The sequence below is a fragment of the Homo sapiens genome, chromosome 22 (genome assembly GCF_000001405.40).
Source record: "Homo sapiens chromosome 22, GRCh38.p14 Primary Assembly".
NCBI classification, from domain to species: Eukaryota; Metazoa; Chordata; class Mammalia; order Primates; family Hominidae; genus Homo; species Homo sapiens.
In genome coordinates, this window is record NC_000022.11 from 18105498 (window position 1) to 18132286 (window position 26789).

Consider the following 26789-nt stretch of genomic DNA (forward strand, 5'->3'; position numbering starts at 1 on the left):
TCTTTTCCTGGGTGATTGATAGAAATTATCTTACCTCCTGCTCTAATGAATGTGGCTCAACTATTTAGGCCATAACTGTAATTATATTTGGTTATATGGCCCCACAGCATTAAAATTCATACAAGAAGAACTTCACTCACACATAGTAACTGGAATGCAGTAGATGTGGATAATTTCTTTAAAAAGCCTAAATCATATGGGTGGTTGTTTTTTCATAAACAGCCTAGGCTTAACTTCAGTTTCTCATCTACAAAAAGGGGACTGTACTAGGGTTCTCCAGAGAAACAGAACCAATAGGTGGTATCTTGAGAGTTATAAGGAATTGGCTCATGCAATTATAGGGGCTGGGAAACCCAGGACCTGCAGTGGTTATGCTGGAGACCCAGAAGAGCTGAAGATGTGGTTCCAGTCTGTCTGAAGCCTGAGACCCAGGAGAGCTGAAGACATAGTTCCAGTCTGAGTCTGAAGCCTGGGACCCATGAGAGCTGAAGACGTGGTCCCAGTCTGAGTCTGAAGCCTGAGACCCAGGAGAGCTGAAGACGTGGTTCCAGTCTGAGTCTGAAGCCTGAGATCCAGGAGAGCTAAGGACATGGTTCTAGTCTGAGTCTGAAGCCTGAGACCCAGGAGAGCTGATGGTGTGGTTCCAGTCTGAGTCTGAAGCCTGAGACCCAGGAGAGCTGAATACGTAGTTCCAGTCTGAGTCTGAAGCCTGAGTTCCAGGAGAGCTGAGGACATGGTTCCAGTCTGAATCTGAAGCCTGAGACCCAGGAGAGCTGATGGTGTGGTTCCAGTCTGAGTCTGAAGCCTGAGACCCACGAGAGCTGAAGACGTGGTTCCAGTCTGAGTCTGAAGCCTGAGACCCACGAGAGCTGAAGACGTGGTTCCAGTCTGAGTCTGAAGCCTGAGACCCACGAGAGCTGAAGACGTGGTTCCAGTCTGAGTCTGAAGCCTGAGACCCACGAGAGCTGAAGACGTGGTTCCAGTCTGAGTCTGAAGCCTGAGACCCAGGAGAGCTGAAGATGTGGTTTCAGTCTGTCTGAAGCCTGAGACCCAGCAGAGCTGAAGACGTAGTTCCAGTCTGAGTCTGAAGCCTGAGACCCAGGAGAGCTGAAGATGTGGTTTCAGTCTGTCTGAAGCCTGAGACCCAGGAGAGCTGATGGTGTGGTTCCAGTCTGAGTCTGAAGTCTGAGACCCAGGAGAGCTGAAGATGTGGTTCCAGTCTGAGTCTGAAGCCTGAGACCCAGCAGAGCTGAAGACATGGTTCCAGTCTGAGTCTGAAGCCTGAGACCCAGGAGAGCTGAAGATGTGGTTTCAGTCTGTCTGAAGCCTGAGACCCGGGAGAGCTGAAGACGTAGTTCCAGTCTGAGTCTGAAGCCTGAGACCCAGGAGAGCTGAAGATGTGGTTTCAGTCTGTCTGAAGGCTGAGACCCAGGAGAGCTGATGGTGTGGTTCCAGTCTGAGTCTGAAGCCTGAGACCCAGGAGAGCTGAAGATGTGGTTTCAGTCTGTCTGAAGCTTGAGACCCAGGGGAGCTGAAGATGTAGTTCCAGTCTGAGTCTGAAGCCTGAGACCCAGGAGAGGTGAAGACGTGGTTTCAGTCTGAGTCAAGGCCTGAGAACCAGGAGAGCTGCTGGTGAAAGTTCTAGTGCAAGGGCAGAAGACCAATGTCCTACCTAGCTCAACAGTCAGGCAGGCAGAAGTTCCCTGTTTCTCAGCCTTTTTGTTCTATTCTGTTCTTCAGTTGGTTGGATGAGGCCCCTGCACATTAAGGAGGGCCATCTGCTTTTCATGGTCTACTGATTCATGTGTTTATCTCCCAGAAACACCCTCACAAACACACCCAGAATAATGTTCGACCAATGAATGTTGGGTACTTTGTGGCCAAGTCAAGTTGACACATAAAATTAAACATCACAGGGACTTAAAAACATGTCCTTTCCCCTTTCCAAACTTATACCCAGGGAGGAAAGCATACAGCAGGGTGAGATGGGGGATCCAGGATGCCACAAATCAAATAATTTTAAGAAGGAGGACAAAAACCAAAAAGAAGTAGATTTTTTTTTGAGACAGTTTCACTCTTGTTGTCCAGGCTGGAGTGCAATGGTGCTATCTCGGCTCACTGCAACCTCCACCTCCTGGGTTCAAGCGATTCTCCTGCCTCAGCCTCTCAAGTAGCTGGAATTACAGGTATGCGCCAGCATGCCCAGCTAATTTTGTATTTTTAGTCGAGATAGGGTTTCACCATGTTAGTCAGGCTGGTCTCAAACTCCCAACCTCAGCTGATCCGCCCGCCTCAGCCTCCCAAAGTGTTGGGATTATAGGCGTGAGCCACTGCACCCAGCCAATTGTTTTTTCTCTAAAGACTCCAAGACCACTGTTTTAGTCTGCTTACAACTGCCATCACTAAATACCACAGACTGGGTGGCTTAAACAGCAGAAATAAATTTTCTCACAATTCTGGAGGCTGGAAGTCCAATGTCAAGATGTTGGCAGAGTTGGTTTCTCCTGATGCCTCTCTCCTTGGCATGCAGATGGCCGCCTTCTCGGTGTGTCGTCACGTGGCCTTTTCTCCGTGTCTGCACCCTCCTCGTGTCTCTTCCTCTTCAACACCAGTCTTTCTGGATTAGGGTCATATCCTTGGGACCTCATTTAATCATAATCACCTCCTTAAAGACCCTATTTCTGACTACAGTCACACTGGGGATTAGGCTTTAACACATGAATTTTGGGGAAACACAGTTCAGTCCATAACAGCCAACCTATTTTATCTCCCTGGAACCCAGAGATGCTATAGTTAGCATTTATGGTGTAGTCATAGCTCCCTCCAGCCCAAATTTTCATAAAGGGGAAAGATGAGGTGGTTCAAGAGCCTTGTCATAATGAAAGGCAATTCAGGGCCACCGTCATTACTAGTATCATCATCATCACCATCATCATCATCTTTATCCCAACACCTTAAGAACCCGTTCATGATTTATGTGGTGGTTCACAAAGAGAACTCGAAAAGTGAATTTATTCAGCTATGTTTACTGAGCTCACCTGATGCACTCAACTAGCTATTTTTGGTAGGGAGGGCACTAAGATGAATAACACAACCCCTTCCTTTAAGGTGTTGCTGTTTTGTAGAGTGTTTAGACACACACACACACACACACACACACACACACACACACCCCTATACTCCAAACTAGAAAGTGATAAATACGGCTGGGCACGGTGACTCACGCCTGTAATTCCAGCACTTTGGGAGGCCGAGGCAGGTGGATCACGAGGTCAGGAGTTCGAGACCAGCCTGAACAACATGGTGAAACCCTGTCTCTACTAAAGATACATATTAGCCGGGCATGGTGGCGCCTGCCTGTAATCCCAGCTACTCAGGAGGCTGAGGCAGGAGAATCGCTTGAACCCAGGAGGCGAGGTTGCAGTGAGCTCAGATCGCACCACTGCACTCCAGCCTGGGCAACAGAGCGAGACTTTGTCTCAAAAAAAAAAAAAAAAGAAAAAGAAAGTGATAAATACTATGGGGCTGGGCGCGATGGCTCACGCCTGTAATCCCAGCACTTTGGGAGGCCAAGATGGGTGGATCACAAGGTCAGGAGATTGAGACCATCCTGGGTAACACGGTGAAACCCCGTCTCTACTAAAAATACAAAAAATTAGCCGAGCGTGGTGGCACGCGCCTGTAGTCCCAGCTACTCGGGAGGCTGAGGCAGGAGAATCACTTGAACCCGGGAGGCGGAGGTTGCAGTGAGCCTAGATCACACCACCGCACTCCAGCCTGGGCGACAGAGCAAGACTCCATCAAAAAAAATAAAAAATAAAAGAAATGCTATGGAAGAAGTAATAGAATATGCTATGGGAGAGTTTGGAAGAGAAATACACATAGAGTTATACTAATAACCAAAATCCTTTATTGACCATTTATCATGTGCTTGGCACAATTAGCTTAATCCTGAGTCTTAATTGTCAGGATCTTACATTATAAGATAGACAAAAATTCAACGCATGCTTTACTAAGTACCGTTTGTATCAGTGGGTAAAGCACTGTGTTTGGTACTCTCTCAAATGCAAAGATGATTACGACACATGTACTATCGTTTATGAATGGGTGGCCAACAGAACAGATTGCCGCATAGGTAAGCAGAAATCTGCTCTCATTCTCTATTGGCCACAAGCAGGCATGTCTTAGGAGCAGAAGGGTAGGAAGATCTCTAACTGTGCTTGGAAACTTGGGGAGTTACCACGTCTGGCTAAAGTGGTATTGTCTTAAGGAAAACCTATGAATTTGCCTGCGTTGGCTTGGTGCTGAGGAAAGTGGAAGAGAGAGGCTGGGGTACACCTTTCAACATGAATGGAACTGACCACTGGAGGGAAAGAACAAGAAACAGCAGTGAGAACAAGGAACAAAGACCATCCAGCCCCTCACCCACCTGGGGGGAAGTGAGGGGAGATGGGCAGGGTGACAACGTGGCCAACATCTAAAGTGTGAAGAGGGGCTTTTACCAAGTGCCCACCCCTTCCCGAGCAGGGGGCAACCAACAGCATCTGGCGGGTCTTACTACTGGGCAGAGGCAGGGGAACCCTGGTATGAGTTCTGGATTACATAGGAGATGTGACTTGGACACGTTTGGGGCTTAAAAGTAGGAAGGGATCAAGGGGGGAGATTTGAAAATCCCGGTGGAGGTGCGAGGTATCCGGGGAGAGGGTAAAAACGGGAACAGTCTTCAGCACCTGCCTGTACCAGGAGCTCTGTGTATGCCATCTCATTTCCGTCTCCAGCAACCAGGCGGGCCTTGGCGGCAGGAGGCACAGGCTTTGGGAGCAGAGGCCCTGCAGCTTGCCAAGCACACACGGCCCTAGGGCGCCCAGCTGAGACGGCACCTTGGCACCCGGGCCCGCTGCAGCCCGCTCCGGTCAGCTGCACCCCAGTCAGGAGCCTTTCCAGCGGGTCGGAGGAGAACGGAAGTTTGGGGAGACCCGCGCGATTCGCCTGGCTGCATTTTACATTTCTTTCTCCGGCAGCTGGGGTCACGAAGGCTGCTCTCGCCGGCGGTGTTGGAACGTGGACACGTGCGCTTTGGTAATAGGGCAGCCTCCCCCGCGGGCGCAGTCCCCGCTGCGAGCGCCCCCGGCTGCTGAGGCGGGACCGAGGACCCGGAGATTTGAGCCGCGGGTGGGCGGGGAGGGGCCTTTGTGACCTGCCCGCCCCTCCCCGGCACTGTGATGCCGGGGGGCAGCTGCGGGCCCGGCGCGCCTGTCCCCGGCGTCCCCCCCTCCCGGTGTGTCACAACGGCGGAGGCGGCTGTATCTGGAGCAGTCGGGGCGGGCAGGCCCAGCTGAGAGGTGCGCGGGCGAGGACAGCGGCAGCGATGGTGAGGCTTCCCGGGGCCAGGCGGGCTGCGGGCGCGCGGCAGGCGTAGGACCGAGAGCCGAGTCTACGCGGAGGCGCACGGACCCGTCTTCCTGGAGCCGCAGGGCTCAAGGCCTTCTGGGGGTGGCAGTTCAGGGTCGAGGAGTCCGCACCCTCGGGCGGGAACACCCGGTGCCCTTTATCGTATGGGGGAAATAGAGACCAGGGGCCAGTTGTTCCTTAAAGGGACCTAAGGGAGCTTTGCGTGCAGACGAGGGGGAGGGAGGCCCTGGGGAGCCCGACGGAGAAGGGGGCGAGATTCTGGGGTCCCCAGATGGGCAGCCTGTGGACAGAGTGGAGAGAAGGGCGAGTCCGGGGATTCTGGATGGGTGGTCTGGGCCGGGGCGACTGGGGGGCCAGATGCAGTCACGTCTCCGAACCCAGCCTAATGTGACAGGGCCCGGAATGTGACAGAGGACCTAGGGCGCCACGGTCCCCCCACGCGTGGAGGTCTTTCTCGCAAGCCTGGCCAGCGGCTTGGGTTTGCTGCACGCACAGCCCCAGCGCGGCGGGGTCCTCCGGGCGCACTCAGCAGCTCCCAAGTCTTTCCAGCGGTCAGAGTCGAAGGACTTTGGGAGTAAGAAGTCTCTGCTTCCAAAGGCCAGGGGACCTTCGACCTGTTTCCTACCCTGGCTTAGGGGGATCGCGGCTGCTCCCTTCCCTGCCCCCGCCCCTGGATCTTACTGAGGGGCGGCTGCAAACACTCAGTTCCTCTTTCTAGGGTCCCCCTCTCCGCCCCCAGTGCCCCTGGTGGTTAACATTTGCCCCCAGTCCACTTTCCCAAAGCCCAGAATCCCAGGAATCCCTCCTGGACCCCTGATCTTTCAGCAGTAGGGAGATGGGCTGGAAAGATTGGGGGCAGAGTGAGGGCAGAATAAGCCTATGTCATGGCCAAGGTCGGGTTCCCTGGGCAGGCTTGCTCCAGGTGTCAGTGATCCAGAAAGCAGGCGAGAACCCCCTCCGCCCCGCCCTGTTACGTTTGGCCCGTGCCCAGGGCCTCCTGGCTCCCCCGGAGCTCTAGCCTTCCAGCTTCAGTTTTGTCAGCACCCTCCCTCCTCCTAGCGGGCTCCCAGACACCCCTGGGAACTGAAAGAACTTGGGAATATTAGGGAGGGTGGCCACAGGAACCTATTTCTGCCTGAGGACCCTGGTATGAGGCCACACAAAGGGCCCGGAGCTGCCAGTTCAGAATTTTGACTCCTGGCTCTGCAGCTAGCTGTGTGACTTCAGGAAGGTCACTTAACCTCTCTGGATGTGTTTGTTTTACCTGCGAAATGAAGAGGGTTATAATTCAAATTTCCAAGACTCCACTTAGATTTCATTATTTTTAAACTTTTTATGGTAGGGAATTTCAAACATATGCAAACGGAGAGCAAATGGTATAATTAGCGATTATATACATCATCTAAGTTCAATAATTACCAACTTCTGACCTGTCTCACTTCATTTATTCCCTCCCTCCATAATTTTGAAGCAAATGCTAGGCTGCATACTCTAGAATTGATATTTAATATTTATAATATCTAGCAGGTAGCTAGTGTTTTAGGATTTTCCAAGTGCTTCCCTTGCATGCTTTAATTTGGATCTGAATGCCATTGTGGTACAGAGTGGAGCCCAGAGGATGTTTACAGGGGCGTGTCGAGGATCTTAACCCAGCCCTGTGCACAAGCTTGAATGTGTGATCCACAGACGTGTTTCTGACAATGCCTGGTAAATCAACAATTCAAACAGCAAAACTTTATTTTGAACGTGCTTAAGAATTTGGGTGTTTAGCTGAAAACCTATGGTTAAATATTTTGAAATGCGACCACCTTTCATTTATTTTGAAACACTCAATTTTGTCTAGTAGGTTCTATCTAGAACATTTAACTTGTGTGCGTTGCACTGTCTTGATGGCTAATATTTTTTGTTGAACATTTTACACTCACAGAAACTTTTAAAATATCATTTGGCTCATTTGTAAAAGGCTAAAATGACACATCTATAAACCTAGACCCCTAGAATCTCACCCTTACAAAAATGACTGTATTTCTTCTAAGGATTAAGTTTCAGGCTGCTGTCCTGTCCCCTTCACTTCCCTCCCTGGTGGGGGTTTGGGGGAGGTGACCTTGGTGTTAAGGAGAATTCGATTTGGAATTTCTGTAGGCTCTGGGCAAGAAAAGTGTAACTAATCCTTAAGTGTATTTTTAAATGCATTTCTCTAGCTGCTAGGCAGATGAGCATTTTTCCTCTGTGAACTTACCCCCAACCCCTTCTCCCCAGCTACCCACTGCACGGTACCACCAATACCCTTTAGCATTTCTGTCCTGGAGCCTAAAGTGACACAGCTGGTAAGAAGCTGCGTAGGGGCTGGAGTTTACATCTGCTGGGCACCAGAGCCTCTGTCCTGAGCCACCTGCCCGTGCTGGGACCGGCAGGCTACTCCCACAGCAGACCATTCCCATCCATTCCCAGTGTTCTAGCACGCAGCTCTCTGGGAACTCAGACTATGACACCTTTTTTGGGAAGTGGTATGGAGAATCCTGGCCAGGTGCCCTAAGCCAAGCCCATGCCAATGATACCAGGGCACAGAGAAGTTTTCTGTGGTTTATGGGGAGGTGGGAACATCTGCAACACGGCTTCTTTAACTCCATTCCGTTAGGACTGGAGAGCACGAAGGAGCCCGTCTCCCTGCAAAAATGGGCAGTTAGAGGGTTCTGGGGGCCAAATGGACACCCTTCTGCCTGCAGCCTTCTGCAGTCTCCCCATGTAGACAGGCATGGCCAAGCTCTGTGGAGTTGATAGGTGTATTCTGACCTCAGAGCACTGTGTGGGCTCCCAGGGGCTGCAGGTCACTGCTGCCTCCTCCTCCCCTCCCATCACAAAAGGCAGGTTTCCCGAGAAGCACTGGGCGCATGCCTCCGAGTGAGGGGCCTTGGCTCACAGGGCAGCGGCTGGGGCAGAGCTGCTGGATTGGTGAGTCCATTGGGAGCCCCCAGCCTTGGGTCAGGCCCATACAGAGCTTGGGGTGGGGGTTAATGCCACTGTTGAATGTGCTTTCTCCTAGTGACCTTCAAAGGGAGATGAAAGTTAAAAATAATTTTGGTGGGGGAAATAGCTGGTGGATAGCGGGCCAGTGATGGGGGTGGGCAGGAGGATGTGGCACTGTCGGGGGGAGGAAGCAGACCAAATGCTCCTTTTCCCTCAAGCCGCAAGGGACGGACAGCACTATCTGTGGCCTTTGTGGTTGGCATTTCCCCTGCAGTGTCTTCCTGTTAGGAGTTCTCTCAGATAATAAGCTGCAGAAGAGAGCAGGAGATGGAGCAGGCACTGTGTGCATCGGATTGAAACTCCTAAGTGTCTCTTGCACCTGCCCCAGTGCCAGCCACAGCCCAGGCCTTCAACGCCCTCCGGCCTCTTATGCTGGAAGTCTCCTTAGCAGATGGCCTCATGGCCAGAGCTGGCCTCCTGTGAGCTCTGTTGCTGCCCTAACTGCAGTGCCTATCATCTGAGCCCCTCTCGCGAGCCACCTTCACTCGCTAAAGTGAATTTAGGCCGACTTTGTTTTTGCTGTGTCTGGCTTGCTATCTATTCTTTGTTATGAGTGATCTCAAATATGCCCTATGATCGAAGAGTTCTGAGCAGAGAGAATTCAGCAGCCCTTCAGGAGCCACATCTGTCCTTACTTTAATTACCCCTCTGTGACACTGTGGGCCTGCTTTTCACTTGCCATCCCTGACCTAGGTCCTAAGATATATGTGATCTATTTTATCCCAGCCTGACAACTAGAGATAATTCGGTGTAATCACATGCTTCCTGACAGCAACTGGGGCATGAGAGCACAGGTGGTCAGGGAGTGTGGGTGGTGCCAGGCTTTCACAGGGCACACACTGTGGTCCACGTCGGCCCCTCTCCCAGATGATATGCCACTTTTACTGTCTTGTGATACTTGGAAATAGTATCACAAGACAGCCTTTTTAAGGCTTCAAAGTCTCCTTTTGCCAAGGATGGTGATTAGCTTATCTTAGTCCTCTGAGAACAAAGCAAAAGGAAATGACTACTATTAAAATAGAATATAAGAATGATGTAAAAAAAAAAGGGCTTCTTGCAGCAAAATTATAAAAGGGCTGCAAAGTTCTAGAATTTCTTTTATTGATGCTCTGCAAAACACAGGCACTGGGCTCATGCCTCCCAGCGAGGGGCCTTGGCTCACAGGGCAGTGGCTCCCCAGGCGGAGTGTTCACAGGTGGCCCAGATGTCTCATTGGCCCTGCCCTTCCTCAGCCTGCGCTCCGGACAGACTGGGCAGTGTGCGGGAACCACCCTGCGTTTTACTGCCTCTTGTTCACACTGCTCCTGCATCCACCTGAACTGCCCCAGATCATCTTGGCCGGCTGCCTTCTTCAGGGTCCCTGCGAATATTCCTCCTTTAGGAAACCAAGCTAGAAGATGTCTCCTTCTCCTTGGAACTCCCTCTGCACTTGACCCGTACACTTCTTAGGCCCTGGCCGCTGTCCTTGTTGGATGGACTGCAGCCCCTCAGGGAAGGTTTTCATTCCAGTCCTCCCTGTGTTAATTGAGCACCTGCTACATTCAAGCACCGGGCTCGGTACTGGGGATTCCTTGAGTGAAACAAAGGTTCCTTGCCCTCACAGAGCTTACGTTCTCTACTAGAAAGGTGCGAAAATGAACAGGCAGCTATAATACGGTGTGATGATTACAATGACAGGAATGAAGGGGATGGGGGAGCACATGGCAGGGCCCTATGCTGGCTTGGGGTTTTGCAGACTTTCCTTAGGAAGTGACAATTAACTGGATACCTGAAGGATGAATGAGAGTTAGCCCAGTAACCTCACAATGCTGTCTCGAATGCAACCACACAAAAAGATTTGCTGTAGAAATGAGTAGGTGCCTTTTGTAGCTATCCCAGCGTGAGGTCTGTGTGAGAAGTGGCATGCTTTTCATGAGGAAGGGACCTCCTTGGTCCCTCCACCTCCCTCCTCTTCACCCCCCAGAAGAAGTTGGGTGGGACAGGCTTCTGCAGCAAACAAGGGACCCCCTCCCCTCACAGGGACCAAGGAGGACAGAACTTGTCTGAGCTCTACAAGCCCAGATTGAAAATAGAACTGAGAGAGACAGGAGCAGTGTGAGTGACAGGCATGTGCTCTGATTGGCTAGACAGAGGAATCTGAAATATGAGTTTGGAGCGGGCACATGACTTAAATATCCTCTGCTGGGTCAGCTTCCCCTTGCCCCCAACCCCAGCTGCACACGTGGGCCCTGAGAAGCGGACTTCTGGTTCTGTCAGAGAAAGATGACCCATTTTCAAAGAGGCCGCCCCATGAGCCATTCGCCATTTCGCTCTGCACAAGAGACATTTCCTGTTTGGAGTTCTGCTATCCGAACTTGGTCTTGCATTGGCGCAGATGTGGGCACACCCCAGGGCCCTGGGAGTTCAGAGCTGCAAGTGAGGCAGGAGGCCATGTGGCCTAAAAGAAAGAAGTCAGGCCCGGGTCAGCAGCCCTGGATTCTGGTCCAGGCTCTTTTGCTGCTGCAGTGCTGTGACATACTGAATTTGTCCCTTTTCCTCTCTGAGCTCAGCAGTTTCATCTGTAAAATAATGGAGAGGGAATCATATTAGGTGATCCATGAGGCTGGCCCAGCTCTGGTATCGTAAATGTTTGTAGCCAATACAACATCCCTGGTTATGATAGAAGGATGCCCTTGACTGGCCCAGCTCTGGTATCCTAAATGTTCGGAGCCGATATAACATCCCTGGTTATGATAGAAGGATGCCTTTTCTTAGACGTGAGGATGCGTCCCACGGGCTTCAGCACTGGGTCTGCTCTGTGGAACTTCCAGGCCGAAGGCTGGGGAGGGTAATGGGGCAGCATGGCTGCAGGAGTCGAGCTCAGTGCCTGAGCCGGGAGCTCGATGCGGGAGCTGTGGGCTGCTCCTCCTCCCTGCTAGGAGCAGGTGCAAGAGGCCTGCAGAGTGCTGGGGCTGGGCACGGACCTCACAGTGCCATGAAGCCTCGTGCAGCTTTGAATTTCACTTGTGATTTCTTCATGGAACTTCAAAGCCCTAGCAATGTAGGCGCGTAGTCAATTATTATTTGAGTAAGTGACTGCGTGCAATGGCCCAGGATAAGGGGGTTCTGGAGAGGGCAGTCCGTGCTCCTATTCTTTCTCTGTCTTCTTTATTATGATTTTTGCTTTTTACTATGAAAAATTTTAAGCCTTCAGAAAAGTAGAGTGATATGCCACCCATATACCTATTATCTAGATTTAAGAAGAAGAATGATTTTTCCATCTGTTATTTGCTGTGTTTGGGAAGGATTTTAAAGTACAGACGTCATGACATTTTACCTCTAAATGCTTCGGATGCAACTCTAAAAAATAAGGATGTTTTCATACTTAACCACATTTTTATGAATACGCTGAACAAAGCAAATCAGTTTATTTGTCCCCCAAATATTTTGATTTGTTCAAACAAGAATTCAGTCAGAGTCCCCATGATGCGTGTGGTGGTGCTTGGTGGTGCCTTAGTTCCTTTGACATGGGACAGCCCCTCCCAGCTCTTCATTTCTCATGAGTTGAAAAGGCTGGGCCAGGCCCGATGGCTCACGCCTGTAATCCCAGCACTTTGGGAGGCTGAGGCAGGTGGATCACGAGGTCAGGAGATCGAGACCATCCTGGCTAACATGGTGAAACCCTGTCTGTACTAAAAGAATACAAAAAATTAGCCGGGTGTGGTGGCGAGCGCCCGTAGTCCCAGCTACCTGGGAGGCTGAGGCAGGAGAATGGTGTGAACCCGGCAGGCGGAGCTTGCAGTGAGCCGAGATCGCACCACTGCACTCCAGTCTGGGCGTCAGAGTGAGACTCCGTCTCAAAAAAAAAAAAAAAAAAAGAAAGTAAATAAAAAAAATTAAGAAAAAAAAAGGCTGGACCAGCTGCCCTGTAGGATGTCTCACCTTCTGGATTGATTTTGTTTTCTCTGATATCACTGAACTTAATTAACCCTCTGATCCCTGTGTTTCCTGTGAAGTGGAAACTGAATCTACAGGGCTCAGTGATGAGGGCTGAGTATTTTTGAGAAGAAGTCCTCACTGGTGGTGTGTGTGTCACATTGCGTCCCATCAGGAGGTCCTCGATGTCGGGTTGGCCCACAGTTAGCGATGCTGAGATTGATCGCGGCCTTAGGCTGGCGACCCTGGTAGTTACGTCCCCCCTTGTGACTATAACAGTGGTTCTTTGGCTCTCGGCGAAGATCCAGTTCCCCATCAGTCTTTCACCTAATGGTGTTGGCGTTCTTGTCCAAATCAATCACGTAATTAGAAGATGGAATAGGGCAATATTTGATAATCTATTATTCGGTCCACATTGCTTAGCAGACATTCTTCAATTAAAGAAAAAAGAGCCTTCTCTAACTAACGGGGCTGTCTGGATAGGGACAAATGAGTTTTTCTCTGGGGGTTTTCTTTGAGGACTTGTGGGTTTTCATCTTGCATCCTGCTTCACTCAAATGCTGCCATCAGTACTTGTGAGGCTCAGGTTGTCTCATCTTAGGCAGCAGGAGCCTCTTCAGGTGCTTGGGCAGCCCCTTGGTTAGCCTCCGTGCCTCCAGGCGCTATGCGACATTCCAGGCTCATCTAGCACACTCCCCACCCTGGACCTGGACGCCTCCGTCTCTCCAAGGAGCCCAGTTCCTGTTAGCAGGGATCTTCCTTCTCTCTTGATTGGTGTAGCTACTTTTCACTTTTGAGAGCACCTATGAATCTGTCAGTCATTTCTGAGTCTATTTTATGCCTCCAATTATTCTTATGAGCTAGTTCAATAGGAAAAATAGCTCTTTCTAAGGGGTGTGTGTGTTTGCACGACGGGGGCGGGGGAGAGAGAAAGAGACAGACATTTTGTAAAAGACTGGCATATGTATTAGTGTGAGATTAATGAGGGCATTAAAAGAGGCTAAAGACGTTGTCACCATGCTAGTGGTTTTCAGGTCCCCCAAATCCTTGACTCTTCCTCCCATGATCTTCGATTTTCCCAAAATATCCCTGCGTCCTCCCTGGAAAGCCCCAGAATGTTCCAGAAGTGAGAGCAGGCTGGGGGCCGGGCAGCACTGTAGGCAGGACTAGAGGGTGGTCGGGATGCGGTGGTGGTGAGGGGGCGACAGACCCAGAAGGCTGAGGGTTAGGACCACAGAGGACACTGTCACTTAGAAGGAAAATACATAGGATCAGGCCCCCCTCGGGCCTCTCCAGTGTCCCCTCAGCTTCCACACCTCCCTGGGAAGTCACAGCCACATGCTGAATGTGACGCCGTGGTCTGGGTGGATAACTCGCTGGTTGTGGGTGGTTTCTGGATGCAGATGCTGCTTTCCTTAGGCCTGAATTGAGCCCTCAGATGGAGGCAGAGAATAGACCCCACAATAAAGGAGAGAGGAGCAGGGACCTGAGAGCTCCCTCTACGTGTGCTACTTCCCGGTGCAGAAAAATGCTACCAGGTAGTACCGTAATGAAAATGATAATGGCAAGACAGCATCAACAACTGTGGCTAACTTACACTTTTCAGATGAGGAGAGGCTCAGTAACTCAGCCCAGGCCACACAGCACAGCAAGTAAATTGAGAAGGCAACATGGGAACCTGGGGCCGTGGGCAGCTCTGTGGGTGAATCCCCTCCCTAGCCACCAGGCTCACGGAGATCCAGCGGGTTGCGACCCCCGTCGGGCTGCCCCACGCTCACCCCTGTGCTCATCCTCCCTCAAGGCAAGGACCAGGTGTCGCTCAGCTGTAGCACAGAGACAGGACTAGAGTGGGGGCACAGTTGTAAAATTGAACTAGGGGGCAATGGTCCTGATGCTCTGACCCCGCAAGATGCTACTCAGGGCAGCTGCCCTGCTCTCCATGCCCAGAATTTCTTCCACGTCTCCAGGAGCCCCACACTTTGACGTGGACTCTACTGGCTTCTGTGCCCAGCCGTGCCCTCTGGAGGCTCTGCCCCTGGCTTGGGTTACCCGGAGCTGGAAAATGCCAGGGCAGGTCATGGGTAAAAATAGAAACCCACAGACCTGGCACATGCTTCCTGCTGGGCTCAGGCGGCTGCCCCAGGCACAGTGTCGCCTTGTGTGGGCCACTGCTTCCCCAGGGCAGGGTGTGGGTGGGAGGATGAGTCTATCACGCCTACGTGTGCACGTGCACACACACACACACACACTGTCTCTCTCCCCACCCCCCTTTTTCTTTAATAATTTCAACTTTTATTTTAGATTCAGGGAGTACATATGCAGATTTCTTACATGGGTATATATTGTGATGCCAAGGTTTGGGGTACGATTAATCCTGTCACCCAGGTAATGAGCATAGTACCCAATAGTTAGTTTTCCAATCTTTGCCCGCTTCTTCCCTCCCCGCTCCAGTAGTGCCCAGTGTCTACTCTTGCCATTTTTCTGTCCATGAGTACCCATGTTTAGCTCCCACTTATAAGAACATGTGGTATTTGGTTTTCTATTCCTGCATTAATTTGCTTAGGATAATGACCTCCAGCTGCATCCATGTTGCTGCAAAGGATATGGGTTCATTCTTTTTTGGGGGCTGCGTAGTATTCCATGGTGTATATGAATGACATTTTCTGTATCCAGTCTACCATTGCTGGGCACCTGGTTGATTCCGTGTCTTTGCTGTTGTGAATAGTGCTGTGATGAACGTGTGAGTGCAGGTGTCTTTTTGGTAGGATGATTTTCTTTTGGATATATACCCAGTAACAGGATTGCTGAGTGAAATGGTAGTTCTGAGTTCTTTGAGAAATCTCCAAACTGCTTTCCACAGTGGCTGAACCAATTTACATTCCCATCAGTGCACTCCCCATCTTAAGCTGTTAGTACGAATACCAATCAGGCAATTGTGGCTTCACATCAGCTTTACTTAACACTTGGCCTGGCATAGGCAAGGGGCAGGCTATGGGGCTGCAAAGATTTTCCAATTGTTCAGCGTGCAGGAAGGGCCTAATTTATACCCTCCCCATCCTCTCTTGGGGTAATAAATAATCCTTTATTTCTACATTGGTAACCATGATACTACTGACAGCCATGGCGCATACTTCCAGAGCATGTTCCTTTCATGAGTGCTCATTTGCTCTGTGATATCCTGAGACTGTGTGTGTGCATGTGTGCACAATGTCAGAAAGTCAGGGTCAGGAGCAGCTGTGAATGCTGCCTTGTGTGGGCGTAGGCTGAAGGAGAGTTTCTGCCATGATCGCCAGTTCTTCCTTGGGCCTTCTTCACCAGTGCAGGAATCTTGTGGTTTGGAATTAGCCCCTTGCTTCATCTTTGCAACCACCCTCCTTTTTTCTTTCCTGGTATAAAAGGTCAACCCTGGGAAGCAACCTTTAGAGCAAAGCACAAAACAGCTGTGTCTTCTTTGGATCTAAGTCCTGGTCCAGCTGCTATAGAGCTGGGGCACCTGCAGCCTCAACGCCAACTGGCAATGGGGGGCTGGGGCCTGGCTGGCCTGCAAGGTGAATGTTATGGGGATGTAGGGCAAAGGCATGCTGGGGGCCCAGACTCTCTGACCTCGTTGCTTCCCTCTCCCCACAGCGGGAATGCATATCAGTCCACGTGGGCCAAGCGGGAGTTCAGATTGGCAATGCCTGCTGGGAGCTCTTCTGCCTGGAACACGGCATCCAGGCAGACGGCACTTTTGATGCTCAAGCTAGCAAGATCAACGATGATGACTCCTTCACCACCTTTTTCAGCGAGACTGGCAATGGGAAGCATGTGCCCCGGGCCGTCATGATAGATCTGGAGCCTACTGTAGTGGGTGAGTGGGGGCGGAGTTCCCCTCCACAGAGAACATCTCGAAACTGCAGAGGCATTGGCCCACAGTAGCTAAGGAAGCAGCGTCTCTAGCTGGAAGGTGGGGATGGTGCAACCGCAGCCTCCCACCCCACGTGACATCTGTCAGCTCCTTGGGGTCCCCACAGTCTCGGGGAATCTCATGACAGTGATCAAGACTCTATGCAGAACAAAATGCCTCCCACTTCAACCCCAAAACCTGCGGCACCAGGTCAAAATGGTCACATCGCTACTAAATACTAAGGATAAGAAAATCCAAATAATTTTAGAAATTATAAGACACCCCTAAGTGAGCAATTTCCCTAAGTATAGGTTTCTGAGTCTGCCCTCGGGGTGGGTATAACCTCACAGCATCTTACACACAAAGGGGCCTATCACAGCAGGCACATTGCTTCACAGCCAGGGGCCGCTGGAGTTCTGGAATGAGGTTCATTCAGGTTTAGGAAACACAGGAATTCTGCCTTGTGTCTAGGCAGATCTCCCCTTCCCACACTATCCCCCAGTAGTGCCACTTCCCCTGTTTCTGACCCCTGGGTCAACTCTCAGTTGAATATCAGGATTTCCCCAGCTCCAAGCCTGGCTCCTCAAGCCAGAGATGGACAGTTCTGCAAAGAGGACTGGGCACGAAGTATATGCCTGGACACCAATGTCTAGGGGCAACAGAGGGCAGATGCTCCACCCCCTGGATGCTTTGCACCAATGCACAAAGTGCAGGTTACCTCCTGGGCCACTGCACAGATGATTTTTCTGCAGGGAGTAGAGGAACCCCGAAGAGAAGAGGTGACATAGTTGGGGCCTGATGTGTCTTGATCTGCTCTGTATCCGCTTTGTGTGGACCCTTGGAAGTGAGCAGAGACCCCTTAAAGGCCTCTCTAGGGCTCTTGCTCCTCTATGACTTGGAACATAGCTTTGCTTCCCATTATTCTAAAATATGTCTAATGCCTGACATATATTATTGCCACCATGAGGTGGAGTTGAGGGGTGGGACAACTCTTGGGGGTCTAGGTTCTGGGCAGATCATCCTGAATCTTTCTCCATGTCCCTAGAATATTTTAATGCAAAAGGACTTAAGTTAAATTGTTGGTACACCTTGGCCCGGCGCGGTGGCTCACACCTGTAACCCCAGCACTTTGGGAGGCCGAGGCGGGTGGATCACGAGGTCAGAAGATCGAGACCATCCTGGCTAACACAGTGAAACCCCGTCTCTACTAAAATTACAAAAAATTAGCCAGGCGTGGTGGTGGGCGCCTGTAGTCCCAGCTACTCGGGAGGCTGAGGCAGGAGAATGGCGTGAACCCGGGAGGCGGAGCTTGCAGTGAGCCGAGATCGCGCCACTGCACTCCAGCCTGGGCGACAGAGCGAGACCCCGTCTCCAAAAAAAAAAAAAAAAAAAAAAAAAAAATTGTTGGTACACCTTGCAGCATGAAAGAAAAAACAAAAGGGAAACCTGGAGGAGTCAAGGTGGAAGGGAGGAGAGGCAATTGGCGTTGGTGTTCGATGAGCTTTTTTTTTGTTTTTTTGTTTGTTTGTTTTTTTGAGACGGAGTCTCGCTCGGTCGCCCAGGCTGGAGTGCAGTGGCGTAATCTCGGCTCACTGCAAGCTCCGCCTCCCGGGTTCAAGCCATTCTCCTGCCTCAGCCTCCCGAGTAGCTGGGACTACAGGTGCCGGCCACCACGCCTGCCTAATTTTTTTGTATTTTCAGTAGAGACATGGTTTCACCATGTTAGCCAAGATGGTCTCGATCTCCTGACCTCGTGATCTGCCTGCCTTGGCCTCCCAAAATCCTGGGATTACAGGCGTGAGTCACTGCACCCGGCCGGCCCAAGTTTTGTTGCTGTTGTGTTTTTTTTGGAGATGGAGCCTCGCTCTGTCTTGTTGCCCAGGCTGGAGTGCAGTGGCAAGATCTCAGCTCACCTCAGCCTCTGCCTCCCAGGTTGAAGAGATTCTCCTGCCTCAGGCCTCCGAGTAGCTGGGACTACAGGCGCACGCTGCCACACCTGGCTAACTTTTTGTATTTTAGTAGAGATGGGGTTTCACCGTGTTGCCCAGGCTGGTCTTGAACTCCTAAGCTCAGGCAATCTGCCCGCCTCGGCCTCCCAAAGTGTTAGGATTACAGGCGTGAGCCACTGGGCCCGGCGATGTTCGATGAGCTTTGTAAAGCTAAGTCTTTTTAGGGTTCTAGCCAGCAGGGCAGCCTGCTTCTCACCGCCCACATGAGCCACAGGCCTTGGCTCTGTTAGTCCCTGAGCTACCCGGGAATTCTCTTAGCCTTTTGCAGATTCATTACGAGGTGGTCTGGCTTCAAACCTCCATGGAGTTTTATAGGTAGGGGAGAACGGAAGGGGTCCTGCGGTAGTGTGGTAGGGAGGGAGGCTTCTCCCCTGGGCAGTAGGACCTAATGGTCTTCCTCTCTTGGAAGATGAGGTTCGGGCAGGAACCTACCGCCAGCTCTTCCATCCAGAGCAGCTGATCACAGGAAAGGAGGATGCAGCCAACAACTATGCCCGGGGCCACTACACGGTGGGCAAGGAGAGCATTGACCTGGTGCTGGACCGCATACGGAAGCTGGTAAGATCAGGAGGGCAGGGGACGGGTGGGTCAGGCTGGAGTGGACAGGCTTGGCCCCATGCCTCTTTGATCAGGCTAGGGAGAGGCATCTGACCCCTGGCTATAGGATGGAGCTCCTAAGGTTTGGGAATTTCTGCTTAAATTCTGTAAGAAGCATGCACAGGGGTGATGCCCCTTCCTCTGTGTTGGCATCATAGACTGTGTTCCAGGCTGAGGCCCTACTCATACTCATTGATACTCTCTGTTAGTATCTGGGGAAGGTTCCGGGTATAAGGCAGGATGAGGTCTCTGCTGGTCGGAAACACAGGTTAACAAAGCATTTAACTTGGAAGAGGAGAGGAAGAGATTGTTGATACATTTGGGCACTTACAAGTGCCATTACAGATGTTAAGCACATTCCTTCATTTAATCCTTAATAATTAGACTTAGGAGGTGTCCTTCCTGTGCTTTACAGATGAAGAAATTGAGGGCCAGGGTGGTTCAATATCTTAGCCTGGGTCACACAGCTAAAAAGTGGCAGAGCTGGGGTTTGAACTCAGTTGGACTACAAAGCTCTTGAGTTGTAGGTTGTGTCACTTTATTTATTTAAGCTTCCATTTGCTTATCTGTATAATGGAAAAGCTTGGACCTGATCACATGTTCTTTCCCTGGGAGGTAAGGGTGCCAAACTTTTGCATATATTCACTTTTTCTGTTTAGAGGAGGGCTTGTCAGGGTCATTGGCCTCAAAGCTGTCTGTGGTCCCCAAAAGTTCAAATCACACCCAGTGGGAAAATCCTGTGATTCTATGAATTCTCTGGTGAGAGCTGACATCCGTGCTTACAACGTATCAGGCCCTTGCTCAGCATGTTATGCTATTTTATTTAATTGTCACAATAACCTTATGAGGATTTTCTATTGTCCCCATTTTCACTAAGAAGGAACAGAAGTGGCCAGGCATGGTGGCGCATGCCTGTAATCCCAGCACTTTGGGAGGCTGAGGGGGGTGGATCACGGGGTCAAGAGATTGAGATCATCCTGGCCAACATGTTAAAACCCCATCTTTACTAAAAATACAAAAAATTAGCTGGGCATGGTAGCATGCGCCTGTAGTCCCAGCTACTCAGGAGGCTGTGGCAGGAGAATTGCTTGAACCCAGAAGGCGGAGTTTGCAGTGAACCAAGATTGCACCACTGCACTCCAGCCTGGCGACAGAGCGAGACTCTGTCTCAAAAAAAAAAAAAAAAAAAAAGGAACAGAAGTTTGGAGAGGTTCAGTAACTTGCTCAAGTTCTTACAACCAAGAAATGGCAAAGTTGATATTAGAACTCAGGCTTTCTGGCTCCATGTACCTTTCTGAAATTGGTGCCCTGAGTCACCTTCCAAGGTTGGGTTGAAGTGTGTCGGCAGCAGTTCCCACAAAATCAAATGACAAGAGCAGGGAAAGTGGGCAAGGAGTTGGGGCCCTCAAAGGGCAAAGTCACCATCCACTGTGGTTCTGAAACTCTCATTCCCTGTTCAACCAAGTTACTGGGCTGAAACCTTCATGTACCTAGAGGCGTGTGCCCCTGCAGCTTGTCATCCTATTAAAAAAAATAGAGACAGAGACTTGCTCTGTCATCCAAGCCAGAGTGCAGTGGTGTGATCATAGATTTCTGCAGCCATGAGCTCCTGGGCTCAAGTGATCCTCCCACCTCAGCATCCCAAGTAACTGGGACTACAGGTGTGCATCACCACGCCCAGTTAACTTTTAAAATTTTTTGTAGATGCGAGGTCTCACTATGTTGCCCATGCTGGTTGTGAACTCCTGGCCTCAATGGATCCTCCTGCCTCAGCTTCCCAAACTGCTGGGATTACAGGCATTGAGTCACTGTGCCTGGCCCCATCCCATATTTTAGCCACTCCTCCAAAGATCAATACAACTCCTTTTGTTTCCTTACTTCTTCAAAGCTGTTTTGATTTCATCCACAAAAAAATATGAGGCAGACAGAGTGGGCGGTCTGGCTTTTTTACTGTGGGGTGTTCTCGGAAACTTGTCTTCATGATTTCTTCTCATGTCCTGCTCTCCCTAGACAGATGCTTGCTCTGGCCTGCAGGGCTTCCTGATTTTCCACAGTTTTGGTGGGGGCACTGGCTCCGGCTTCACTTCTCTGCTGATGGAACGCCTCTCCCTGGATTATGGCAAGAAATCCAAGCTGGAGTTTGCCATCTACCCAGCCCCCCAGGTCTCTACTGCAGTGGTGGAGCCCTACAACTCCATCCTGACCACCCACACCACACTGGAACATTCAGATTGTGCTTTCATGGTGGACAACGAAGCCATCTATGACATCTGCCGCAGGAACCTTGACATTGAGCGCCCTACCTATACCAACCTCAACCGCCTCATCAGTCAGATTGTGTCCTCAATCACTGCTTCTCTCCGCTTTGACGGGGCCCTCAATGTGGACCTCACTGAGTTCCAGACCAACCTGGTGCCCTACCCCCGCATCCACTTCCCGCTGGTCACCTACGCGCCCATCATCTCTGCCGAGAAAGCCTATCACGAACAGCTCTCTGTGGCCGAGATAACCAGCTCCTGCTTTGAGCCCAACAGCCAGATGGTGAAGTGCGACCCGAGACATGGCAAGTACATGGCCTGCTGCATGCTCTACCGGGGCGACGTGGTGCCCAAGGATGTGAATGTCGCTATTGCTGCCATCAAGACCAAGAGGACCATCCAGTTTGTAGACTGGTGTCCCACAGGCTTCAAGGTGAGAGCTGATGACTTAGGAAGGGGAGAGAGGACTAGAGAAGCAGAGGGAGGTGACCAAGGATATGCAATTCCATGGGCGCTTCAGGCTTTATGTGATGATAAGGGGAGGGGGACTTCAACCAAATGTAACATGAATGGAATTCAGCTTTGGTTGAGACACAAGTGCTGTCAAAGTTTTGTCTGTTTAGGCCATTTTAGAAAAGTTTGGTGCTATTTTAAATTGATTAATTGGTTAATCACCTTTGGTTTTGTTTACTGAGCAACAAGTAATGATTTGGTATTGGCCCAAATCTACTCACCTGAAGTACAGTGCTTTTGGTGTTCATGATTTGGTTCAATTTGCCTAACGTTAGTTTTGTTTTTTTTTTTTTTTTTGAGACGGAGTCTCACTCTGTCACCCAGGCTGGAGTGCAGTGGCACCATCTGGGCTCACTGCAAGCTCCACCTCTCAGGTTCACGCCATTCTCCTGCCTCAGCCTCCCAAGTAGCTGGGACTACAGGCGCCCGCCGCCACGCCCAGCTAATTTTTTGTATGTTTAGTAGAGATGGGGTTTCACCGTGTTAGCCAGGATGGTCTCGATCTCCTGACCTCGTGATCCGCCCGCCTTGGCCTCCCAAAGTGCTGGGATTACAGGCGTGAGCCACTGTGCCCGGACTTTTTTTTTTTTTTTTTTTTTGTGAAACGGAGTGTCGCTCTGTCACCAAGGCTGGAGTGCAGTGGCGCGATCTAGGCTCACTGCAAGCTCCACCTCCTGGGTTCACGCCATTCTCCTGCCTCAGCCTCCCGAGTAACTGGGACTACAGGCGCCTGCTACCACACCCGGCTAATTTTTTGTATTTTTAGTAGAGACGGGGTTTCACCGTGTTAGCCAGGATGGTCTTGATCTCCTAACCTTGTGATCTGCCCGTCTCGGCTGGGATTACAGGCAGGAGCCACCGCGCCTGGCCTCCAACCTAAAGTTAGTTTTAATGGATATTTTACACTTCTTTGTACAGCATGATTTTGTGGCCATTTTAATTTTAGAGTTAACCAAATTATTCCAGTTGCCAGAGGAGTATGATGCCTCTCTCTAACAAAAAGCTGTGTTCTCCCAATTTATTTTGAAAACTTAAAATATCTATCCTGCACATCTTAATCAATTTGGAGTAATAAGATACTTTTATAGTTGTTCTATGATTGCTATTTTCCATTGCCATTAACCAGGAGTAAGCAAAAACCAGCAAGCCGTGTGGCTGGTGGTAACCAAGTGCCCGCAGTCTGGAAAATGCCAGGCTCAGAGAGTCAGTGGGGAGATACAAAATAGCGAGGGTAGACCCTGGGGCCCCAGGACCAGGAATGCTGAATGGTAGAAGTCACCCCTCTGAGCTGGACCGGCAGGCAAGCAGCCTGGCTGTGCACATGAACAGCTCAGCCACTCCACCCATGGTCTTTTGTCAGATTCTGCCATCATAACAGCTACCACATTCACATTAACTACTGCCCTGTAGTCAGGATTTCTTTTTTTATTTTTTATTGTATTTTTCCCCTGAGATGGAGTCTTGCTCTGTTGCCCGGGCTGGAGTGCAGTGGTGCAATCTTGGCTCACTGCAAACTTTGCCTCCCGGGTTCAAGTGATTCTCCTGCCTTAGCCTCCCAGGTAGCTGGGATTACAGGCATGCACCACCACGCCTGGCTAATTTTTGTATTTTTAGTAGAGATGGGGTTTCACCATGTTGGCCAGGCTGGTCTCGAACTCCTGACCTCAGGTGATCCACCTGCCTCAGCCTCTCAAAGCATTGGGATTACAGGCGTGAGCCACCAAGCCTGGCCCCTAGTCATGCTTTCAATCATTCAGAGGTTTTACTGGTACCTATTGTGTGTCAGGGTTTGTCTCAGTTGCTGGAGGTGAAGAGATGAGCATGCCTCAGTTTTCTTGGCGGGAGTTACAAGTGTGAGGCACCAGCTGCGTGCTGGCCTCATAGCTGCCCTGCATGGGTCTGAGGCTTTGACCTGGCTGTTCTGCTGAGTGAGGAGTGTAGCATTCCTTTTCACTGCTATCCTTCTAGCTACATATATAATTTCCCCCCAAGACTATGCCTATTTTTTATGTGACAGTTCTAATCATCCTGGCAAAACCAGTCAAGGTCTTCCAAAAAATGAAATTCTTTTTTCTTTTTCAAATGGAAACAAACAACCAGCTAGTAGGAGAATGAATGGGGAAAAAAGAGAATGAATGAGAGACATGGTGGGTGATGGGGAAATTAACAAAGCGGAAATGTCCCCTCATTCTCTCTCCTTAAAGCAGAAGCTCTGGAGTTATGTCCTGAAGGATCATTATGGTAGCATTAGCATAAGCTAAGAAAAGTATGTTCCCTGGAGAGGATGCTGCTAAACTTCATCTTCTTGCATTCTCTCCAACAGTACTTGTCCCCACTTGACTCAGGTCAAGAGATGTTAGCACTTAGAGGAGAACAGGTTGGCCCAGGCACAAGGTTTATGGCAGTCGGCTCAGTTCTAGCAATGTATGTGATGTGGCCAAATTCATATACATTGCCTTTCCCTTCCCCACTTTGCCCCTCTCCCAGTATCACCTCCACCTCCAAGATGCCACCTGTGCCTAAGAGGAATGACGGCTGCTGTGGGTCCAGTGGCTGCCTGGCTACCCATGTTGCCACACAGCTGGCTGCCATTCCCACACCAGCCCCTCAGGAGGATGTGCATTTTAAAGCTATGGATTTAAGAGACTGGCGATTAAAATGTGGTGGTCTCAGTGGGAGAGGTGGCTGAGGACATCACTATAGTTCTCATAAGTAATGTCACGGTTTGCCACATTAGACTTGTCCCAGTTTCCCATGGTTCCTGGGGTTGGCTTTGGTTTGGGACGTGTGTTGGGAAGAAGAGAGATTTCCAGGATAGCAGCACCACTGTAAGACGGGTCTGGGCTGAGCCTGGGAGACCTGCCATGCTGCCAGAACTTGGCAAGACCTTCAACAACCTTCTTGGATTGGAGACCCTGCTTTTCTTCTAAGAAGCCCCAATTCCCAAAAACCTAGAGCCTGGTTAACGCCAACACCATCCCGGGGCCTTTCGGCTCTCTTTATTTATTGCTCTGGAATATCCCTGTGACCTCTTCCAACAGTTTTCACTCTTGGCAGGGAAACTTCCTTAAATTTACTCGCAACACAACTAAGAGGAACTTCAGATGACCACTTGGGAGAGAGTACACTTTTGAACAGCTTTGAATCTAGAATGCGTTTCCCTGTTACACATACACATGTACCAGACACCTCCCACCCGCTCCTAATGTCGCTCGTGACTCTCATTTGCCTACTTGCTGAGCCCCCTATACCAGCCCTGTCCTCCTTCTCTAGCCTTTGATTGCCCAGCCCTTCCCCATCTACTTTTTTTTTTGTTTTGCTTTTAAGAGACAGGGTCTTGCTGTGTCCCTGCCACTGGAGTGCAGTGGAACCACTGTAGCTCACTGCAGCCTTGACCTCATGGGCTCAAGTGATCCTTCCACCTCAGCCTCCCTGAGTAGCTGGGACTAGTAGGCATAGCCACCGGGCCTGGCTAATTTTTTTTTTTTTTTTGGTAGAGATGGGTTTTTGCTCTGTTGCCCTGCCTGCTTCCACTTTCTCTTCAGCTTCTCCCTTGCCACCTGCTGGCTTCCCCAGTCCCATCCCGCCTGTTGCATCCCATAGCCCCACTCCCACGCCCCTGACCATGACTTGAAGCCATGCCAAGTGACCAAGATGTCCCATCCTGAGTTATCCTCTGGCTGACTTGTATCTTCTTCTGTGGCTCCTCCTCTTTCTGTGTCCCTCAGGTGGGCATCAACTACCAGCCCCCGACCGTGGTCCCCGGGGGAGACCTGGCCAAGGTGCAGCGGGCCGTCTGCATGCTCAGCAACACCACGGCCATTGCGGAGGCCTGGGCCCGCCTCGACCACAAGTTCGACCTCATGTACGCCAAGCGGGCCTTTGTGCATTGGTATGTGGGAGAGGGGATGGAAGAAGGAGAATTTTCTGAGGCCAGGGAAGACTTAGCTGCCCTGGAGAAGGATTATGAAGAAGTGGGGACTGATTCGTTTGAAGAAGAAAATGAAGGGGAGGAATTTTAAATATATACCTTCCCCTTGGCTGTGTCTCTTTATTTATGCTGTGCCATTCAAAGCACATGTTCAAGAGAACAGAACACTCTCCCCGCCCCAGCCTGATTCCTGCCTTACCCAGGAGGAGGGTGCCTGGCCCCAGTACCCAGGGTGGCACGACTGGGCTAAGTGGACACTGAGCTTCATCAGGCCCTCCCTGGGTAGGAGCAGCTTTGTGTCACTAAAGAAAGTGAGGGCCACTGTCTCCGGCGGGTGAGGCTGCAGCCCAGTTTCACATGCGAGGAGGCCTAATCAGGAGTTTCAATTCCAGATCGGGCTGGGTCCAGCCCCAAAACATGGCCTGCTGGCTGGGGAGTGGGAACACTCAGAGAAAGGGGAGATCTGGGCCTGGGAAGATTCCGGGGCAGGGGTGAGCGGACGTTCACATGAGTGGGTCTATAGCCCGCTCCGGGCATCATCTAGACTTAGCATGCATTCACTCCCCCATCACATATTCCAATACACACCCTGTCCTAGGCACTGAGAGCTGGAGAGTTGGTGATAAGCGAGACGAACACATTTCCTGCCCTCATACACACATAAATAAAGTGAATGAGATCATGTCAGCTGGTGTCAAGTGAGAGAAAGTAAAAAGCAGTGGTGAGAGAGTGTCTGGGCGTGCTCCTGTGGACTGCGTGGTCAAGACAGCCTCATGGAGGCCTGGGCCGTGCAAAAGGATGCTAGGTGCAGGGAGAAGCAAGTGCAAAAGCTAGGAACAAGCTTGGAGCGTCTGCAGAGCAGAAAGGAGATTGTTTCCTGGAGGATGGTGAGAGGGGAAGAGTCAGAGAGACAAGACCCAGGAGCCAGGCAGGGCCAGAGAGCATCCAGCCTTACAGGCCATGGAGAGGAGTTTAGAATTTTTTTCTAAGTGAAACAGAAGGATTTGGAAGGTTTCAAGCAGGATATGTATACCTTATTTCTATATTCATACTGACCTTATATCCAATCCTCCCAACAGTCTCAAAATGGATATTCTGCTCATTGTGTAGATGAACAGACTGGGATGTTTTAGGTGTTGGAGACAGTAGGAGGTAGAGCTGAGATGCAGGGCCTGCCTTTCCTCCTGTCCTGTCCACCCTAACTACAATGTTTCCGTGTTTGTTTGTTTGTTTGTTTGAGA

General features: G+C 50.7%; 1 protein-coding gene across 2 annotated transcripts, besides 3 other annotated features; it reads left to right on the forward strand.

The window, feature by feature from the left end:
• Positions 422 to 923: an enhancer, noted in NCBI's record as "H3K27ac hESC enhancer chr22:18588685-18589186 (GRCh37/hg19 assembly coordinates)". NCBI's record gives its function as "activates a minimal SCP1, AML or CMV promoter by ChIP-STARR-seq in primed H9 embryonic stem cells {active_cell/tissue: H9 hESC(primed)}" and the evidence as "EXISTENCE:reporter gene assay evidence [ECO:0000049][PMID:30033119]".
• Positions 4809 to 5008: an enhancer, noted in NCBI's record as "active region_18652". NCBI's record gives its function as "activates an Ori minimal core promoter by ATAC-STARR-seq in GM12878 lymphoblastoid cells {active_cell/tissue: GM12878}" and the evidence as "EXISTENCE:reporter gene assay evidence [ECO:0000049][PMID:35858748]".
• Positions 5089 to 5478: a silencer, noted in NCBI's record as "silent region_13449". NCBI's record gives its function as "represses an Ori minimal core promoter by ATAC-STARR-seq in GM12878 lymphoblastoid cells {active_cell/tissue: GM12878}" and the evidence as "EXISTENCE:reporter gene assay evidence [ECO:0000049][PMID:35858748]".
• Positions 5312 to 26235, forward strand: TUBA8 (tubulin alpha 8). 2 transcript variants are annotated; one of them, NM_018943.3, is made up of 5 exons: positions 5312 to 5371; positions 15982 to 16204; positions 18659 to 18807; positions 20857 to 21537; positions 25346 to 26235. In NM_018943.3, exons 1-5 carry the CDS (start codon positions 5369 to 5371, stop codon positions 25637 to 25639), a joined length of 1350 nt encoding a protein of 449 aa, NP_061816.1. In that variant the 5' UTR covers positions 5312 to 5368; the 3' UTR covers positions 25640 to 26235. The 2 variants fall into 2 exon arrangements, with proteins under 2 accessions (NP_061816.1, NP_001180343.1); NM_001193414.2 differs by having other exon boundaries at positions 5312 to 5342.

Bases quoted from the DNA above. Each gene is read 5' to 3' on its own strand.
- TUBA8 (NM_018943.3), top strand. The intron at 18,808-20,856 runs GTAAGATCAGGA...TGCTCTCCCTAG, and splicing joins TGGACCGCATACGGAAGCTG to ACAGATGCTTGCTCTGGCCT. The intron at 21,538-25,345 runs GTGAGAGCTGAT...TGTGTCCCTCAG, and splicing joins GGTGTCCCACAGGCTTCAAG to GTGGGCATCAACTACCAGCC.